Source organism: Homo sapiens, chromosome 8 (genome assembly GCF_000001405.40).
Source record: "Homo sapiens chromosome 8, GRCh38.p14 Primary Assembly".
In the NCBI taxonomy this organism is placed as follows: Eukaryota; Metazoa; Chordata; class Mammalia; order Primates; family Hominidae; genus Homo; species Homo sapiens.
Window position 1 is genome coordinate 91,354,167 of NC_000008.11, and position 22,114 is coordinate 91,376,280.

The 22,114-nt window shown below is 35.0% G+C and overlaps 1 protein-coding gene across 4 annotated transcripts in view; it reads left to right on the plus strand.

Moving 5' to 3' along the window:
- SLC26A7 (solute carrier family 26 member 7) overlaps nt 1–22,114 on the plus strand; it is a 188,660-nt gene that overhangs the window by 144,671 nt on the left and 21,875 nt on the right. For all 4 annotated transcript variants that reach the window (NM_001282356.2, NM_001282357.2, NM_052832.4 and 1 more), the window contains 4 exons: nt 8,187–8,293; nt 9,306–9,372; nt 12,414–12,551; nt 15,619–15,667. In NM_001282356.2, coding sequence (NP_001269285.1) covers nt 8,187–8,293; nt 9,306–9,372; nt 12,414–12,551; nt 15,619–15,667 — 361 coding nt within the window. The remainder of the gene's footprint in view (nt 1–8,186; nt 8,294–9,305; nt 9,373–12,413; nt 12,552–15,618; nt 15,668–22,114) is intronic.

Here is a 22,114-nt window from a genome sequence, read left to right on the forward strand (position 1 = left end):
CTCAACAAGCTACTTGATAACCCTATGGTTAAGTTATTTCTAAGGAACTCATTGATCATATAGGAGGCAGCATGTTACCATATTGGAAAGGGTAGAGAAGATGTCAAGTAAGATTTCTATTAGGAAGTTGAGAATTGAAGAATTGCATTACCTGGAGAAGAAACAAAGAGAATCTCATATGCAAAGATACAGAGATGAGTGTGAACATGTCTGTCTCTGAAAAAATCAAGGTATTTGGCATGGGTAGAACATATAATGTGAGGATGGGAGTAGTGACAGATGATGTGGAAAAGTTAAGAATGGGTTGGATTGGGCAAGGCAACTCAAGTTTTACAAAGATGACTTGATTTCATTATGAAGGCAGTGAAACATCACTGAAAGGTGAAATAAGAATAAAATGTATGTATTAGAAAGGTCACTTGAGTAGTTTGAGGAAGATGGATCAAACTGGTGAAGTATACAGGAACTGGAGCACTGCTTTAGCCCTTCAGGCATATAAATGAGGAAGACCTAGACCAAGGCTGAGACCATGAAGTACAAGAAAGAATCAGATGAAAAATATTAAAGATATTGTATTTGTTAGTCCTCACCACCAGTTCATTATATAATGTGGATCAGTTGGAATGACTTCTGAGTTTCTATTTAGGAGCATCATTGGAGGAAGATTATATCATTCATTGAGTTATAAGATATAGAAAATTCTATTATTTAGATGCATTTAGTGGTTACCTTTAATCTTTTTTTTTAAAAAAAGGATTCTCATACTCGTTATTTATTTCATCTCTGTTTTCTGTACATCACCAAGTAGTTTTCCCAGAACTCATGTGTTTTGTATTCCTTGAGCTATTTCATGGTGACAATATCTGCTTGTTTTCATACTAGAAGGAAGTTTTTGACTGAGTGTAAAATGCTTTCTCTCAGGTCTTTTTAAATCTAACATTATCTTTAGGCATTGAGGGGTAAAGTAGAGAAATCACAGGTCAACGTAATTTTTTTGTTGTTATTTTAAGTAAGCTTGTTTTTCTAAATGGATGCTCAATGAAGTTTTTTCTTCTTACTACTGAAGTTTGGTACTATTATCAGAATATCACTGTGGTTGAGCACTCAGTCTCAAATTTCTGAGCATGACATAATCTTTTGATCGCATAATCAGGAATTATTTACAAATTTTTTCTTCTAATATATCTTTGAATATTTTTTCAAATCTGTGTTCTGCTCTCTTCTCAGTGAATTTTGTTTGTTTTTACTTTGTTCTTCTTCATATCTATATATTTTCCCATGATTATTTTGTTTTTCTGTATAAGTGATTTCTTTGGACTAGACACATATCTCTGATTATGTATTTCTAGTTGTGATTTTCTTACTTTTTAATTTTAAACATGGCTTTTATTTTCATTCATTTTCTTTCCTGAATTATTCTAGGCTGCTTGCTTTTTATCTCCTTCTGTTTTTCTGGTTTTTGTTGATCATTCCTTCTTTGAATTTTTATATTTAAGGTTTTTTTTCCTGAGATTATATTGCCTATTACATATCCAAATCTATCTTTTGCCTCTTTTTTTTAAATTTTATTATTATTATACTTTAAGTTTTAGGGTACATGTGCACAATATGCAGGTTTATTACATATGTATACATGTGCCATGTTGGTGTGCTGCGCCCATTAACTCGTCATTTAGCATTAGGTATGTCTCCAAATGCTATCCCTCCCCTCTCCCCCAACCCCAGAACAGTCCCCGGAGTGTGATGTTCCCCTTCCTGTGTCCATGTGTTCTCATTGTTCAATTCCCACCTATGAGTGAGAACATACAGTGTTTGATTTTTTTGTCCTTGCGATAGTTTGCTGAGAATGATGGTTTCCAGTTTCATCCATGTCCCTACAAAGGACATGAACTCATCCTTTTTTATGGCTGCATAGTATTCCATGGTGTACATGTGCCACATTTTCTTAATCCAGTCTATCATTGTTGGACATTTGGGTTGGTTCCAAGTCTTTGCTATTGTGAATAGTGCCGCAATAAACATACGTGTGCATGTGTCTTTATAGCAGCATAATTTATAATCCTTTTGGTATATACCCAGTAATGGGATGGCTGGGTCAAATGGTATTTCTAGTTCTAGATCTCTGAGGAATCTCCACACTGACTTCCACAATGGTTGAACTAGTTTACAGTCCCACCAACAGTGTAAAAGTGTTCCTGTTTCTCCACATCCTCTCCAGCACCTGTTGTTTCCTGACTTTTTAATGATCGCCATTCTAACTGGTGTGAGATGGTATCTCATTGTGGTTTTGATTTGCATTTCTCTGATGGCCAGTGATGATGAGCATTTTTTCATGTGTTTTTTGGCTGCATAAATGTCTTCTTTTGAGAAATGTCTGTTCATATCCTTCACCCACTTTTTGATGGGGTTGTTAGTTGTTTTCTTGTAAATTTGTTTGAGTTCATTGTAGATTCTGGATATTAGCCCTTTGTCAGATGAGTAGGTTGTGAAAATTTTCTCCCATTTTGTAGGTTGTCTGTTCACTCTGATGGTAGTTTCTTTTGCTGTGCAGAAGCTTTTTAGTTTAATTAGATCCCATTTGTCAATTTTGGCTTTTGTTGCCATTGCTTTTGGTGTTTTTTATTCATTATTTTATTTCTTTATTTTCCTCATTTCCATGAATAGGGCCCTTGATGATTTATTTAGAATTGTAATGCATTTTTAGGGGACCTATTTGCTGGAAAACAACATAGGAGAGCAGGAGGTCGTAAATGAGGTAGAGCAGCCCGCAGTTCTTATTTAGATCATGGAAGCAAAGCCTCAGAAATCAGGTTCACTGGAGATCTCATGCTGTTGTCATCTCTCCATTCTTCATCTTGTTTTACTTCCTGCAGTTACCTTTACTTAGGAGGTCAGATTGTAAGTGATACAAATGGCCTTTCACTCTACAGTCATCTGGTATCAAATAAATCTCTATGAGTACATTTCCTTTTTCTCTGGTAGCCCATGTTTGACCTTAGAACTTAGAAGCTGTTGCCCCTAAAAGCTCTTACCAGATTATTGCATAGAATTTTCAGGATTCTGGCATTTCTGCAAAAATCTATACTTGATTGAGCTCTGAGGATAAGTTTGTTGGCTTCTAGTGTCCTCCTTGATTATCATCCAAATTTCACAGTATTTGGCAAGTCTATATCATATTTTGTAGTGAGAAGTTTTGACCATGTTCTGGCTTCATTGATGCTGATTTTTTCCCTTCTATGTTCACATTTTATATTGTTTTGGGTGGATTTTAATAGAGGAGGGTTGAGTAAAAATGCCTTTAATATACTCTCTAAATCTGATATCCAAATCTATACTTAGAACATTAATTCTACTATTTAACAAATGGTGCTGGGAAAACTGGCTAGCCATAGGTAGAAAGCTGAAACTAATCCCTTCCTTACACCGTATACAAAAACTAATTCAAGATGGATTAAAGACTTAAATGTTAGACCTAAAACCATGAAAACCCTAGAAGAAAACCTAGGCAGTACCATTCAGGACATAGGCATGGGCAAGGACTTCATGTCCAAAACACCAAAAGCAATGGCAACAAAAGCCAAAATTGACAAATGGGATCTAACTAAACTAAAGAGCTTCTGCACAGCAAAAGAAACTACCATCAGAGTGAACAGGCAACCTACAAAAATGGGAGAAAATTTTTGCAACCTACTCATCTGACAAAGGGCTAATATCCAGAATCTACAATGAACTCAAACAAATTTACAAGAAAAAGAAAACAACACCATCAAAAAGTGGGCAAAGGACATGAATAGACACTTCTCAAAAGAAGACATTTATGCAGCCAACAGACACATGAAAAAATACTCATCATCACTGGCCATCAGAGAAATACAAATCAAAACCACAATGAGATATCATCTCCCACCAGTTAGAATGGCGATCATTAAAAAGTCAGGAAACAACAGGTGCTGGAGAGGATGTGGAGAAACAGAAACACTTTTACACTGTTGGTGGGACTGTAAACTAGTTCAACCATTGTGGAAGACCGTGTGGCAATTCTTCAGGGATCTAGAACTGGAAATACCATTTGACCCAGCCATCCCATTACTGGGTATATACCCAAAGGAATATAAATCATGCTGCTATAAAGACACAGGCACACATATGTTTTTTTCTTTTTCTTTTTTTTTTTTTTTTTGAGGCATAGTCTCACTCCGTCCCCCAGGCTGGAGTGCAGTGGCACAATCTTGGCTCACTGCAAGCTCCACCTCCTTGGGTTCATGCCATTCTCCTGCCTCAGGCTCCCAAGTAGCTGGGACTACAGGTGCCCGCCACCAGGCCTGGCTAATTTTTTTGTATTTTTAGTAGAGACGGGGTTTCTCCATGTTAGTCAGGATGGTCTCGATCTGCTGACATCATGATCCACCCATCTTGGCCTCCCAAAGTGCTGGAATTACAGGTGTGAGTCACCGCACCTGGCCGCACACATATGTTTGTTGCGGCACTACTCACAATAGCAAAGACTTGGAACCAACCCTAATGTCCAACATAGACTGGATTAAGAAAATGTGGCACATACACACCATGGAATACTATGCAGCCATAAACAATGATGAGTTCATGTCCTTTGTAGGGACATGGATGAAGCTGGAAACCATCATTCGCAGCAAACTATCACAAGGACAAAAAACCAAACACCACATGTTCTCACTCATAGGTGGGAATTGAACAATGAGAACACTCGGACACAGGAAGCGGAACATCAACACCAGGGCCGGTTGTGGGTTGGGGGGACGGGGGAGGGATAGAATTAGGAGATATACCTAATATAAATGACGAGTTAATGGCTGCAGCACACCAACATGGCACATGTTTACATATGTAACAAACCTGCACGTTGTGCACATGTACCCTAGAACTTAAAGTATAATAAAAATATAAAAAAGAACATTAATTCTAGCAGCAGTATGGCAAATGGTTTACAATGCAGATAACAAAAGCAGACAGTTAAGTAGGACACTGTCAAAAGAGTTGAGGAAAGGAACAGTGTGAACTGAGATATCATTAATAATTTGAGAAAAGGATACGGCTTAAGATTTTTTTCTTAACAATTTATAGAACTTGTGAAATGATTGGATAAGTAGATTAAAGAGGAGAGAAAGTAAAATATAATTCCATAGTTTCCGATTATAGTGTATTGAAGGATATTAGTGTTACAACTGAAGGAGAACATTGGAGGAAGGACAGATTCTGGGGTGAAGTTAATGAGTTTGCATTTGGACATGTTAAGTTTCAAGGTGTTTGATAGCTGAAAAATTGCTTAAGAGCTTAGAATTTGTAGTCTCCTACTTAGACGTGATAGTTGAATACTTGGAGTAAGTAAGCAATGTGGTGTGTGCAAAGATATGGTGTGAGAAAGGTGACATGGATATAGCAGGCGCATGATGATTCAGTGGGACATTGGGTTTAGCTTGAAAATAGCCTTCTGTGGTTGGAGTGGATAGATATCTCTTAGCTGCTAAGGGATTCAGCAGAGAAAAGCCATGGATTATTGGGTTATTGGGCACAGCATTCAAAGGATTATTGGACTATTGGGCACAGCATTCAAAGTATGAATATTGCACAGACTTTTGTGGATATAGGCTATATACCCAATACGTATAATGTCTAGATTACTAAATAGATGGACTGTGCCTAGAGTATCATGGAAGTAAAATTATCCAAGATATGTGTGTGTGTGTGTGTGTGCGCATGTGTGTGTAAACTAATTTGAAGGTTTAAAGTTTAAAATATCATGTACATAGTCATCACATGGAAAATTAGAAACTGTTGCACCTCTTTACATCTATTAACAGTTTAATATTGATTCTATTTTGAGTTGTTGGTCAAAACTCTCTTTGAAGTAATGAGAAAATAGGGGTCCAAATGGAGGCTCAACTCATTGGCTCAGAACTAAGTTTGAACAGCTGAACATTGGATACAGAATTCAGATATATAAACATTTAGTAATAGGGATCTGCCACAAAAACAGATAGTACAACAGATAGGCTGGGGGAAATGAGGTAATTTAGTAGCTGTTAAACTGTGCTTTATGCTGATGTATTTTCTACAAGGACAAAGGATTGTGTCCCCTACTTAAGGTTAACACTGGGGTTAGTTTGTGTTTTGGGACTGTGAGTGCCAAATAGGAAGAGAGCAAGTAGGAACACATAACAAAAAATAAAAAATAGGGGCCCGAGAGCCAACTAATTCTTGATAACTGTGACAACTAGCATTTGGGTCTTTAACAGGAATTATTACAGAATGCTGTTGGGATTTATTCTAACCAATGGAATTATTTATTGGTCTATGTTATTAATTTCCATTTGATATTTTTTCAAAGCTATAAATGTAGCCCCAGGAAATAAGTAAGCATTTGGAAAGCCCAACTTATAATAGATGACGTTGTGGGAGAGTAAATATGCTTTAAAAATAGAACCAGATGGTACCAAAATTTCTGGTTGCTCTGAAGAATTCTGGCCTCCAGGCTCTATGGTTTTTTAAGTGGCAGGGACCAGGATCCTTAGTTCCCTATGCCATATTGAATCACGGAGGATGGCCCAGAGGAATTAGACTTATAAAGCTTTTGGTGAGGTATTATTCTGCCACACTCGGGCAGATTCAGTTAGGATTTGAAAATGAGTGAGACTCAGAGTCATCATGGGAAGCTAAAATAATAGTCAAAAACTTGCAGCCTTGTTTTGTATATGATTAAGTACAGCATAATACACCAGGAAGAAAAAAACACACACTATATAAACAGAAGACTCAAATGACTGACTGTGTGTTCACCTGAATAAAGAAAAACCATCTCAGCTGGGAATGATCTCATAATAAGTAATAACCTAGCATTACATTTGTAGATGATGGATCTTAACATGAGATTCATTTAAATTGTATTCTCTCTTTTACTCCATAATGTGTGTTTGTCCTACATCAAAAGGAATTTTAAGGATAAAATTCCCTCCATTTGCTTCCAAGGGCTCAGCTTTTCAAAACAGTCTGTTAAGAATCACTCAAACTCAGTGTAGATAAATAATCCAGACAAAGGAGAAGTATTTCAAAAACAACAATAACAACAAAAAGAGCCCTTTAGAAATATTTATTTCAGACTTGTCTGAAAAACAGTTGCACTCCTTCCCTCCCCAAGATTGTATGCTATTTTTAGAATACACAAACATTTCTAACTTTGTCATTTGTGTATGGAATTGAAATATGTTTTCAAAGATGTTTTAAAGTGATAATATAGCTATTAGGACAGAAATAAATAAATGTAGAATTGCAGTCAGAGGCAAAGTGCTGCAAGTTTTGGGAGGACAAGAGAGAGGTTAAAAACGTTAGTTTACTGTTTGATAAATGCAGGATTTAGTGTTAAGAAAATATAACCTGGATTTCACAAATTATTTTGCTTTTAAAGATATTTTTTCAGCACTAAGCTTAGAAACGCCAACTATAATACAATATCTTGTTGCAAATTATAATTTTAAGTGGTGAACAAAACTGCAATAACTTTGGTATTCCAACTAGAAGACAATTAGAGCTTCGTGTAATCTTTTGAAATGTTCCCCAAAACTAAGTTGGCCCTGATATTTTAGCTTTCATAATGAATGGCCCCTTACAAATAAAACTATAATGATCTTCATAGTGATTGATCTAAAAGTGGCACTGGCAGTGTTGTTTGACTCAGTCATTTTAAAATTAGGCTTCCTGAGCCTTATGTATTAATAAACAACCTTAGTTATTTTTATAGCAGTCCTAGAAGACAAAATATTGTTGGGAATGACCAAAAATCTGTACACAATTGCTTGTAATAATATTACATTAAATGAGAAAGCAGTGGGAAATCATGGCATGCTTTTGAACCATACACATCAACCAAGTATTTACAGATCTTAAATACAGTGTTTGTTGGGGATTGAACTAAGGGTTGGCAGTGTCTGGAAATAAAAGAAGAAACTTTTTCCCACCTTTGCTGCTGAGAGTCTGATGGAGCAGGATTTGTTTCTGTATTTCTGAGCTTCTGTTTACCACTTGTTAAATAATATTTTCTTGCTGAAAGATTTGGTCACAAGAGTGTTAAGAATATGATTGTGAGGAACTTAGCAATAATGAGAAGAAGTGAATTCCAAAGGATTCACAACTTCTGTTTCTTGTTTCTCTTTCAGGGAATATGGGTCAGTACATATGTATTTACAATATGCTTTGCTGCCAATGTGGGACTGCTGTTTGGTGTTGTTTGTACCATAGCTATAGTGATAGGACGCTTCCCAAGGTAGGATCCTATGTAAATGCTCTGTTTATTTTTGCACAGCAGCAAAATACATGGTTACTTGCCATATGGTACTTGCTAGTTACTTTTATTTCTCTGTAACATATAGTACTACAATCTCATGTTTTTCTTGCTGTCAGAAAACTAGAGACAAACAGATAAGAAAATGTTTTATCTGCATATGATATTTAACAATGCTGATCTTAATGAAGATAAATAGCTTATCAACGTGATAAAATAGAATATATAAACTCTTAAAATAAATAAACCCCTTGGCCTTATACTGCATCAGAGAGAGATTTCTTTAAATTAAGTGAAAAGAGTTAGTAGCTAATGATCACAAACCATTTCACAATATATTTAGAAAATTAAATAACTTCAGAAAATTTTATTTTTCAGAAGTCAGATTAATCTATTTTCTAGATAATTTATTGAGAAACACACTGTCTCTTTTTGTCATTTTACTATAAATTTATAAATCATTTCCCTAGTCTGACCAATTCTTTTTCTGCTTTACAAAGTATTCTTGTGGGAATAATGTTTCTATTTACTTCACATCCATCTTTCCCTTAAAGCTGTTTGTGAAATAATGTATTCTAAAAAATGTTGTTTTATCTCTATAGAGTCTTTCTTTATAGAATTTATATATTCAGATTCAATACTATCCAGTCCTATCTTGCCATTGATTCTTTCTTTTCTTGCTTTTCATTAAAACAATATTTTATCAATACTGCATAATCTCTTGCCTTTTCTCTTTTAAAATTCTTCTTTACTAATCCACATCTAGTAGCTTGGAGAGATGGGGCTCTATTTATATGCCTCTGTTGTTAACCTCTATCCCCGAATATCCCAGAGATATATAGATTCACCAATGTCCTCTTATGAACAAATGAGTTATAGGATATAAATCATCTCAGACACATTCTAGTTATTAAATGACTACTTTTGGTTTCTTCATTGTTTATATAATGATTAGGAAATGACTTGTTTTATTTTCTATCTGCTTTAATTTCAGAGCAATGACTGTAAGTATAAAAAATATGAAAGAAATGGAATTTAAAGTGAAGACAGAAATGGACAGTGTAAGTTTAGTTTTATTTTTCCTTTATGCAATTGTTAATCATTTTGTGGGTGAGATAATTTTAAGACATCACAAAAATTAGATAAATTATGATAGTTAAAAATATAACTTTTTAATTAGTATAAACTTCCAGTGGTACATATGTGATCACAATATATGTGGCAAACTACATGCAACAAATCAATAGAACAAAAGAAAATCTCTTTGGATTCAGCATTCAGACAAAAGCATAGCATGGTACCTAGAACTACAGTTCACTGTAGAATCATGGCATTTGGACACCTCTTTTCCATTACTGAGTTGCATAAAGTAATCAAACTAAACTGATAGTCTATTCTGAATTAAATCATGGAGGAAGATAGGAAATAGGAAAGGGAATGAAGCAAATTTGGTTCATGGTATTGTTTTTTTTTTTTTTTTTCTTAACTCAGTCAATGAGACTGTATGTTAGCAGAGGGTAATTCAGTCCAATGGCTACAGAATGCCAATAGAATTGGTTTCTTACACAGTGGGTACCTTTTTAAGGACACAACTTGTATAAACAGTTTTGCTCTGCTCATGCTTAGGAAAGCCAATTGATTATGTCTTAATTGTAGTTTGTTGTTCTAAGGGATGACTATAACAGTTTAAAGTGAGGGTAAAATTGTTGACTTGAAATATTTTTGCCAATTAAAGAAAATTGCCCTCATTTTGAACCTGCTTTGTAAATGTTTGGCTAACCTTTTTCCGTTTATTTTTCACATACACTTGGTTTCAGTATCTCATAATTTCCCTAAGGACAGAGTAAACTGGCCTCCCACCAGAAGGACCAGAGTCAGGGTATTTCCAAATAGACTGGAAGTAGAAAGTAGCATCAGGAACCCTCTGCGGCACCCAAGGGAATGGCTTATGTTTTTAATACTATGGACAGATTTGTTTCACAGAATGCTATTTGGGTTCAGAGCCTTCCAGGGTGTTCTAGGCTCAAGTTTTCCACCAACTTTGCCTTTCTTTTCTTTCCTTATTTTTTCCATGGGAATTTAGTGCTTGTGCAAAGCCCCAGACTGACTTTTGGGCCCCTGAAGTCCCCTGTGTATCCACACCACAAGTACACATGTATTAGCCCTGATCTCCTTAGCTTTGAGACTGAATTTGGCTTTGGATTTGACTATTTTCAGCTTAAAAATCACTGTTTAATAAATTCTATCTAATCCTTAACTTCTTCTTGGGCTAAACATGTACAGAAGTGAATGAGGGGATTTGTAGGAAGATGAAAATGCTAGAAATTTCTCCACATGTTTAAGTCTTGATTGGTTTCTGTCTATTCACTGACCTGAATAATAACTGTTTCACATGGAGATTTTAATTTTACTATAATATTACATCTCTCTAATTATTCAATGTTTTGTATAAAAAATAAGAGGGAGAAAACTAAGATAAAGCAAGATTTGAATATAAGTTCTTAGGTGGAATTTTCAGCTAAATTAAAATAATCTGTCATTTATCTTTTCCATTTATGCACTCTTCCATCTCTTCATGTGAAATGACCCTTCCTGATTTGAGAGATCTCTTCCCACTCAGTGAATTCAACCCCACTGATAATTTCTTTTCTAGAACAATTTGAATATCTATTCTTTAACAAATACATTTTTTTTCATATTAACTTAAAACAACACATTGGCACAATTATGTAGTGCAGGGTTGTCCAATCTTTTGGCTTCCCTGGGCCACACTGGAAGAAGAATTGTCTTGGGCCACACATAAAATACACTAACACTAATGATAGTTGATAAACTAAACAAAAATTGCAAAAAAGTCTCATAATGTTTTAAGAAAGTTTATGAATTTGTATTGGGCTGCATTCAAAGCCATCCTAGGTGGCATGTGGCTCACAGGCCATGGGTTGGACAAGTTTGACATAGTGTGATTAGAGGGTCAGGCTAAGCTTTGGTGCTTTGGGATGACTAATATGACAGGCCTAAGAGTTCATTGTTATTTTTTGTTTCTAAGAGGTTTACTCTTGTCTGAACATTAGTTTGGCAACTTAAGGTTTGTTTGTTTTCTTGAGTTATTTGTTGCAAATCTCCTCACTTTGCAAAGTTCAATCAGTTTTGTAACTATAGGAACTTTTTGAGATTTTCTAGTTTAAACATTTATCTCATTTTTGGAAATGAGGGAACTGAGAGAAGTTAAATGAATTGTCCAAATTAGCATACTTAATATTTTCTTTCTTTCATACTTCTATCCTCTGTCTGTATGCATCGCTATTCTTTGCATCTCCTCTTCTATGGAAGTAAAGCCTGAAAGAATATTGCTTTACTTAGTTGGTAAGGAGTTGTCATTTTGTAGAATTTACCCTCCTGTCTATTTCTAGGCCAGCCACTTGCCCCAAAGGTCATAGAGAAGACTGTTTTAGTTGCACATCACCAAGTGACGGGAAAATGGCCAAAGCGGACATGTTTTGTGTCAAAACTTTTCCTTCTTCCTTTCTATATTGCTCACCACATCCTGGCAATCCAGTTCCTAGGCCTGCCCAAAGTGAAATTATATTCCTAATACTACCTCTAGGTCTCTGTCTTCAAATTAGGACTGTTAATCACTTGTAAAGTTATATTTCAGCTGAAGGAAAGCTATGTCATTATGAAGCAAATGACTCATGGTTGACCCTTTATAACACATTTTCATTAAAAAAATACTGATGGTTAAGTAAATTAATTTTTAATTGGTAGATTGAATGAAAGAGATACTTTTGAAAGGATAGGACTTCCTGGAACTCTTTGGATAGTCTAGGCTACTGCCTCCTGAAAAACCAGCTAGGAGGAATAAGGGCCACTTTCTGAAAAGCTGCCAACCTTTCTTGCCATTATTAATGTTTCTTAGTAAGCAGGAAGTATATATTTCCCCTAAGGAAGTGTGATAGTACATTAAGGCCTCTAAATACATTTTAGTAATAAAAATGTTAATTGAGAGATTGCTTATAAAATTGAGTGACATTTAGATCTGATTGTTTATTGGCTATAATTTTCTATTTAGAGTTCTGAATCTGTTTTTCTCCTCCAAAAGGAAACCCTGCAGCAGGTGAAAATTATCTCAATAAACAACCCGCTTGTTTTCCTGAATGCAAAAAAATTTTATACTGATTTAATGAACATGATCCAAAAGGAAAATGCCTGTAATCAGCCACTTGATGATATCAGCAAGGTAGGATCAATGGTTTGATTAGAATGTCATACTACATGTAGCCTTATATCATGACAATAAAACATGTATCAAGTAAATAATAATACATCACACGAGTATTTCGAGACCTCTCCCTTCAGCAAAACCTATGATTATTTGATTATTTTAGTTAATTTTTAGGTAATCACTCTCTTGTTCATTCTTCATTTATTCAGTATATATTTAATGGACATGTGTTGCAGGTACTACAGCACTAAAAAGAATAAATAAGACAAATGATCCAATTTAATGGATCTCTTAACCAACCTCCAAAGGATTTTTTTTTTTTTGAGATGGAGTCTCGCTGTGTCACCCAGGCTGGAGTGCAGTGGTGCCATCTCGGCTCACTGCAAGCTCCGCCTCCCGGGTTCACGCCATTCTTCTGCCTCAGCCTCCTGAGTAGCTGGGACCACAGGTACCCGCCACCACGCTCGGCTAATTTGTTTGTATTTTTAGTGGAGACGGGGTTTCATGGTGTTAGCCAGGATGGTCTCGATTTCCTGACCTCGTGATCCACCCGCCTCGGCCTTCCAAAGTGCTGGGATTACAGGCGTGAGCCACTGCGCCCAGTCGAAAGGATCTTTTCTTTAAACAAAAAAGGCATTAGATTTAACTCTAAACGTGATAGAATATGATAAATGACTTCAGAGACGCATAAACTGTTGCAATCATTTTAATAATTTTATTATAATGTTCCAGAATTCTTTATCTCCATTTATACTGTCAATTAACAGTGATATTGAATCAAATGTGCATCAATATGATTTAATATAAATAAGCTATCTATTATCATTTGAATCCTTAAGCCTCTGTAATGTTAGGAGTGTGGACTTTGAGGCCAACTGCCTGGGTATGCCACTTACTAGCTGTGGAACTTTGACTTGTTGAATCTTTGTTCTTCAGTTTTCTCACATGTAATTGAGATGATTAAATGAGTTAATAAAGGCAAAGCACTTAGAATAGTGTTTGGCCTACTCAACACTATAACATCTTAGTTAGCATTATTAGTTTGGTTGACTACTGTCTCCATGAAGCTTTCCTTGACTCCTCTAGATCACAGGATCTCTTCTTTTTCTTGTGTCCTCGAGCTACTTATCCCCCAGTCATTTAGGTACACAGAAGATCTTGACCCTCCCATTTCTGATGTCTTAGGAGCTGTCCTGAGCCACATTCCTGTCCCTTACAGCTTCACACTTCTGCCTTTGGGCCTTACCCTAATTTGTACCATAGAAACCTTATATACAGGATCAGATACGTAATTTACAGGGGCTCAGTGCAAAATGAAAATGTGAGGTCTCCTGTTCAACAATTATTAAGGATTTCAAGATGGTGACAGAAGATCATTAAGCCAGATGGGAGATCCTTCTAAGAGTGGGCCCCTTTTGTGAGAAAAACTATAGAGGTAAAGTGCCCTTCTCATCACACTGTATCAAGGGTACCTACAATCAACATGATTTATCAACATGTTTACTCTACCTTGATCACCTGGATAAGGGAGTGTTTGCCAGGTTTCTACACTGTAAAGTGATTCCATTGTCTCTATTCTGTGCTCTCTGGAAGAAAGTCACTGTGTGCAGCCTACACTTAAGAAGCGTGGAATTATGATCCACCACCTTAAGGGTCGAATATCTACATAAATTATTTTGAAATTCTTTTGCAAGGGAGATTTCAGATGAGGTTTTTTTTTTTGTTTTTTTTTTTGAGACGGAGTCTCATACTGTCACCTAGGCTGGAGTGCAGTGGCCCGATCTTGGCTCACTGCAAGCTCCACCTCCAGGGTTCACGCCATTCTCCTGCCTCAGCCTCCAGAGTAGCTGGGACTACAGGCGCCCGCCACCACGCCTGGCTAATTTTTTTTTTTGTATTTTTAGTAGAGACGGGGTTTCACCGTGTTAGCCAGGATGGTCTCGATCTCCTGACCTCGTGATCCGCCCACCTCGGCCTCCCAAAGTGCTGGGATTACAGGCGTGAGCCACCACGCCCGGCCCAGATGAGGTATTTTTAAGAGGAGGGAAAGGAAACTCAGGTTCACTGAATATCTCTCAGGGGCCAGTCCCTTTAATCAGGCTAACTTAATCATCACCAGCCCTGAGATGTAAGTGGCATTACCTGAATGTTACATAAAAAGGGAGGTAGAAATAGAGAGAGATAAAATAACCAGATGGAAATTGTATAGCTGATAACTGTAAGTCAGGCTTAAAATACATACGCTGTAGCACTGGCTATAAAGAAGAGAAAACACGGGCTCTCTAGTCAGCCTTTAAGATAAAAACTGATCTCGTGAGAGAAGCAGAGTAATGTAGTGGCTGGGAACAAGAGGCTTGGAATTGGAAGGGCATGAACTTTGGTTTTAACCCATGCTCTTACTAGTTTTGTGACTTTGCTGAAGTTATTTAACCTTTCTAATCTTTGACTCTTTCATATAAAAAATAAAATTTATAACTTCATATGCTTGTTCTGAGGATTAAATGGTTAGTGTGAAGTCCTTGGCATATAGTGACGAGTGAAGAAATATCAACTGCTATTAATATGATTAACAAAAATAGCAATAATACATTATTTGAGAAATAGCAGATGATCTCCTTAGAGGCATCAATTATTGTCAGACAAGATTAACTGTAGGATACAGAGCTGTTTTTTTTTTTTTAATCCAGCATTTTCATGTAGTGGTAGTATATATGATCAGTGGTTCTCTCTCTTAAAATGCAATGTTAATAAAGATGATTTCTGATTGAATATGCTACTTAAAAAATGTGCAAATGTTTAATTTCTAATCCAAAATCAAAACAAACTTAGTTTTGCAGAAAATATTCTAAAGAAGACAGTCTGATAACATAAATTATTTAATGAATTGCTGTATACTTAGAATTAATTATTTTATTATTTCATAGTTTGTTTTATACATTATTCTGAAAAGAATGCTAGTGAAAAACAATTTTGGAGATGAGTTTTTTTGTTATTCTTTATAAGTAAAAGAATTATGTGATTTTTTTCAGACAGAAGTAAAATTTTATAACATTTTTCTTCTTTATGTTTGTTTTTATTTTAGTGTGAACAAAACACATTGCTTAATTCCCTATCCAATGGCAACTGCAATGGTGAGTTAGCTTTAAGGAAAAAGAAAATCTAAGTGTTTACCTTGAAGATAGACCAGAGAATAAAATCTTCTTCCCCTTCTCCTCCTCATCTGCCTCCCTCTTCTGTTCTTCTTCTTTTTCTCTCCTAATTGTCCTCTTCCCTCTACTCTCCTCCTCCCTTCTACTGGCGTTAGCTTGAGCTTATGTTACCAAATAAGCACTAATACTTTTATCTGCAGAAAACAGATTTAGCCATTTGGCTCCTTCTCCCTTCTCTTTCTTTCTCCCACTTCTTCTCCTGTCTTCTCCCTCTCTCCTTCACTTCTAGTCTTCTTTCTCTTCCTCCTCTCTCTTCTTCTTTCCTTCTTTTTTTTTCTATTTTCTCCTCCTTTCTCTCTTTATTCTTTTCTTCCTTTTTCTCTTTACTTCTTCCTCTTCCCTGTTCTCTCTTCAATCTCCTCCTCCCATTTTCTTTCTTTTCTTCTTCCCTCCTCTCTCCTTTTCCCTCTCTTTCTTCTTCCTCCTCTCCCACCTCTTTTCCTTTTCTCTCCTCTTTCCTCTCCTTCTTCTTTTCATTTACTTAAACATTTGAACCACAAATTGAAATTCATGGCATTAGTGTAGTTTTAATATGGATGAGGATTTATCATGAAATATATCTTTGAATACATTTTGGATCTCCACCCAAAACAAACTAGCACTTTAAAGCTATTACATGTTCAGATTTACCTGAAAAATCAGGTGACAAGAACAAATATTTTGATGGCGGATGCTTGTTAAATTACCAGGTCAATATTCTCTAGAAGTTTAATTATCTTTCTTTGCAAACTCATCAATTGATGTGACCGTTGTCTCAGTATAGAGAAAATTAAAAGATATACAAGAAAATATGAATGAGAAGTGTTGTGATATTATAACTAAATGATAAAAGAGTTGAATTGAAACAGATTTGTATATTTATCTTTTGATATTTACTAAGATTAAAGCATCAGTGTAGTTAAATTATTCATAATTGTGACTTTTATTTAATATAAAAGGTTATACAAAAATCTCTTATTTTTTGTGTCATGCAATATTTGCTTAGCCAATTTCTTCTAAGTAGGTAGAGATAACAGTGATTTTTATTGGAAATCTTTGACAGATATCTAGTTGTATTACTTTTTATTTTGAATTTTTGGAAATAATTTTAGTTACAAATGTGTTAGATTTTTAAAAATGTTACTAATGGAATGACATCTATTACTTTAAACATATGCTTCAAAATAACTATGTTCTTTTTAGCATGGAGCTAAAGAAATAACATGATTTTTAAAAGAATGAAATAGCATTATACATTTTTCTGTTATTAGATCACAAGTTTGAAGAAATAGGTTGATGCTGAAAATTCAGGGTGAAAACTGGATTTTTTAACTTCCCTTTTTCTTATTAATAAGAGGAAGTCAATTATGGATCTATTTTTTAAATTTACTTTAAATAATTTTTATTTTATTGTAGATTCAGGGGAGACGTGCAGGATGATTACACTGGTATATTGAAAATAGTACCCAATAAGTAGTTTTTCAACTTTCTCCTCATTTCCTACCCTCCCTACTTTTGGAGTTCCCAGTGTCTATTATTTCTATTTATATGTCCATGTGTACTTATTGCTTAGCTCCCACTTATAAGTGAGAACATCTGGTATTTGGTTTTCTATTTCTGAATTAATTCACTTAAAATAATGACCTCCAGCTCCATCCATGTTGCTGCAAAAGACATAATTTCATTCTTTTCTATGGCTGTGTAATATTCCATCGTGTATATATAGTACATTTTCTTTATCCAGTCCATCTAGGTTGATTCTATGACTTTTCTATTGTGAATAGTACTGTGATAAACATAAGACTGCAGGATTTTCTTTGATAAAATGATTTCTTTTCCTTTGGGTAGATACCCAGTAGTGGGATTGCTAGGTTGAATGGTAGTTCTATTTTTAGTTCTTTGAGAAATCTCCATACCGTTTTCCATGGTGGAGGGCAGGGTTTGAACTAATTTACATTCCCACCTACAGTGTGTAACCATTTCCTTTTCTCCATATACTTACCAACATCTGTTAGTTTTTGACTTTCTAATAATAGCCTTTCTGACTGGTGTGAGATGGTATCTGATTTGATTTTGATTTGCATTTCTCTGATGATTAATGATGTTGAGCATTTTTCATGTTTGTTGGTCGCATGTATGTCTTCTTTTGAGAAGTGTCTGTTAATGTCCTTTGCTCACTTTTTAGTGGGGTTATTTTCTTTTTCTCATTGAAGTTCAAATTCCTTATAGATTCTAAATATTAGTCCTTTGTTGGATGCATGGTTTGTACATATCTTTTCCCATTCTCTAGGTTGTCTGTTTAATCTGTTGGTTGTTTCTTTTGCTGTGCAGAAGGCCTCTAGTTTAACTAAGCCCCATTTGTCTACTTTTGTTTTTGTTGCATTTGTTTTGAGATCATAGTCATAAATCTTTTGCTTACACCAATGTCCAGAAGAGTTTTTCCTAGGTTTTCTTCTAGAATTTTTATAGTTTCACGTCTTATATTTAAGTCGTTAATCCATCTTGAGTTAATTTTTGTATATGATGGAAGTAAGGGTGTAGTTTCATTTGCCTGCATGTGGCTAGCCAGTTTTCCCAGCACCATTTTTGAATAAGCAATCCTTTCTTCATTTTTAATATTTGTTAATATCATTGAGGATCAATTGGTTATAGGTATGTGGATTTATTTCTGGATTCTCTATTCTGTTCCATTGATCTATGTATCTGTTTTTGTACCAGTACCATGCTTTTTTGGTTACTATAGCCTTGAAGTATAGTTTGAAGTTGGATAATGTGAAGCTTCCAGCTTTATTCTTTTCCCTTTAGGGTTGCTTGCCTATTTTAGCTCTATTTTGGTTCCATATGAAGTTTTGAATTATTTTTTCTATTTTTGTGAAAAGTGATATAATGTGTTAGGAATTGTATTGGATCTGTAGATTGTTTTGAGTGGTAGTAATTTTAATGACATGGATTCTTCATTTCCATGACCATGGGATGTTTTTCCATTTGTTTGTGTCATCTGCAATTTCTTTCATCAGTGTTTTGTAGTTCTACTTGTAGAGGCCTTTCACGTCCTTGTGTAAATGTGTTCCTAGGTATTTTATTTTTTTGTGGCAGTTGTAAATAGGATTGAGTTCTTGATTTGGTCTTTCAGCTTCAGCTTTGTTGGTGTACATAAATGCAACAGATTCTGTGCATTAATTTTGTATCCTGAAACTTTACTGAGTCATTCATTAGTTCCAGAAACCTTTTGGTAGAGTCTTCAGAGTTTTCTAGGTATAGAATTGTATCATTTGTGAAGACAGATAGTTTGACTTCTTCTCTTCCTATTTGGATATTTTTTATTTCTTTCTCCTGCCTTATTTCTCTGGCTAGCACTTCCAGTACTATGTTGAATAGGAGTGGTGAGAGTGGGCATCCTTGTGTTGTTCCAGTTCTTAAGGGGAATACTGTCAGTCTTTGCCATTCAGTATGATTTTGGAGATGGGTTTGTTGTAGATTGCTTTTATTATTTTGATGTATGTTCCTTTAATACCTAATTTGTTGAGGGTTTGTGTCGTGAAGGGATGTTGGATTTTACTGAATATTTTTTCTGAATTTATTAAGATAATCACATGGCTTTTGTTTTTAATTCTGTCTATGTGGTGAACCACATTTATTGATTTATAAATGTTGAACCATCCTTGTGTCCCTGGAATAAAACCCACTTGATCATAATGAATTTTTGTTTTTGATGTGCTGCTGCATTCACTTTGCTAGTATTTTGTTGAAAATTTTTGTGTCTTTGTTCATCAGGGATATTGGCCTTTAGTACTACTTTTTTATTGTGTCCTTACCAGATTTTGGCATCAGGATGACACTGGTTTCAAAGAATGAGTTAGAGAGGACTCTCTCTTCCTCAACTTTTTGGAATAGTTTCAATGAGCTTGGCACTAGCTCTTCATTGTATGTCTGGTAGAATTAGCCTGTGAATCCATCTGGTCCTGGACTTCTTTTTGGTTGGTAGTTTTTTTTATTATGAATAAATCTCATAATTCTTTATTGGTCTGATTAGGATTTCAATGTCTTCCTGGTTCAATCTTGGGAGGTTGTATGTTTCCAGGAATTTATCCATTTCCTCTTTGTTTTCTAGTTTGTGTGCATGGAGATGGTCACAGTAGTCTCTGAAGATCTCCTGGATTTCTGTGCTATCAGTTGTGATGTCACCTTTACCATTTCTCATTGTGCTTATTTGAATCTTCTCTCTTTTTTTTCTTTTGGTTTATCTAGCTAATAGTCTATTAATTTTGTTTAGCCTTTCAAAGAACTATTGTTTCATTTCTCCTTGGTATTTTTTTTGTCTCAATTTCATTTAGTTGTACTCTCATTTTTGTTATTTCTTTTCATCTGCTAGCTTTGGGTTTGATTTGTTCTTATTTGTCTAGTTCCTTTGGGTATGATGTTAGGTTGTTAACTTGAGAGCTTCCTATCTTTCTGATGTAGATACTTAATGCTATAAACTTACCTCTTAACACTGTTTTTTTTTTTGCTGTATCTTAGAGGTTTGTTATGTTGTATCTCTATACTGATTTGTTTCAAAAATACTTTTGATTTCTACCTCAATTTCATTGTTTACTCAAAAGCCATTCAGGAGCAAGTTGCTTAATTTCCATGTACTTGTGTGATTTTGAGAGTTTCTCTTAGTATTGATTTACACTTTTATCCCACTGTATTCCAAAAAGATGCTTGATATGATTTGATTTTTTTTTGGAATTTATTTAGATTTGCTTTATGATCAAGCATGTGGTCAATTTTACAGAATGTTCCATTTGCAGATGAGAAAAATGTATATTCTGTGCTTGTTATGTGAAATGTTCTGTAGCTGTCTATTAGGTCAATCCAGTCAAGAATCCAATTTAAATCCAGAGTTCCTTTGTTAGTTTTCTGCCTCAGTGATCCTTCTAGTGCTGCCAGTGTGATATTGAAGTCCCCCACTATTATCATCTGGCCACTGTCCCTTTTCTTAGGTCTAGTAGTATTCATTTTATAAATCTGGGTGCTTCACTGTTTGATGCATATATATTTAGGGGTAGTTAAATCTTGTTGAATTGAAACCTTTATCATTATATAAGGCCCTTCTTTGTCTTTCTTTCTTTTTTTTTGCCATTGTTGGTTTAAAGTCTGTTTTATTTGATACAAGAATAGAAACTCCTGTTCTTTTATGTTTTTCATTTGTGAGATAGATCTTTCTCCACCCCCTTACTTTGAGCCTGTGAGTGTTGTTACACAAAAAATGAGGCTATGGAGGCAGCAGATGGTTGGGTCTTTAAAAAAAAATCCATTTTGCCAAGCCATATCTTTTAAGTGGAGCATTTATGCCTTTTATATTCAAGGTTAATATTGATTTGTGAGGTTTTGTTTCTGTCATAGTGTTGTTACCTAGTTGCTTTGTAGTCTCAAATGTGTAATTGCTTTATAAAATCTGTGAACTTTGTACACAATATGCTTTCATGGTAGCAAGTATTGTCCTTTCATTTTCATGTTTAGAACTCTTTTGAACATTTCTTGTAGGGTTGGTCTGGTTGTCCTTAGCATTTCCTTGTCTGAGAAAGACTATTTCTCCTTCTTTTATGAAGCTTAGTTTGATAGAATATAAAATTCTTGGCTGGCATTTTTTTTTTCTTCAAGAAGGCTAAAAACAGACCCCCAAACTCTTCTGGCTTGTAATATTTTTGCTGAGAAGTCTACTGTTAGTGTAATGGGATTTCCTTTATAGGTAATTTAGCCCTTTTCTCTAGCTGCCTTTAAGTTGTTTTTTTTTTTTTTCTTCATGTTGGCCTTGGGTAGTCTGATGACTCTGCTTCAGTGATGTCTTCTTCTACAGTATCTCACATGTGTTTTCTTAATTTCTTGTATCTGGATAATTACCTCACATGCAAGATAAAAGACATTTCTCTGAATTATTTGCTAAAATGTGTTTTTCAAATTGCTTACTTTTTCTTCTTCTTCTCTCAGGTATGCCTATAAGTTATAGGTTTAGTTGTATTACATAATTTCAAATTTCTTAAAGGCTTTGTTTGATTTTTAAAATATCTTTTTCTTTATTTTTCTGTCTGGGTTAATTTGAAAGACTAGTCTTCAAGGCCTAAAATTATTCTTTTTTTTCTAGTATATTATTAAAGCTTTCAAATGTGTTTTGAAATTCCTTTAGCGAGTTGTTTAATTCTAGGTGTTCTATTTGGCTTTTATAAAAATATAGCTATCTTTCAAATCCTGAATTGTTTTCTGGTTTCTTTGTGCAGGTTTTCAACTTTCTTCTGGATCTCACTGAGTTTCTTTGGAATCCACATTTTGAATTCCTTATCTGCCATTTCTGACTTTTCCTTTTGGTTAGAATCAATTGCTAGAAAGTTAGCTTGATCCTTTGGAGGT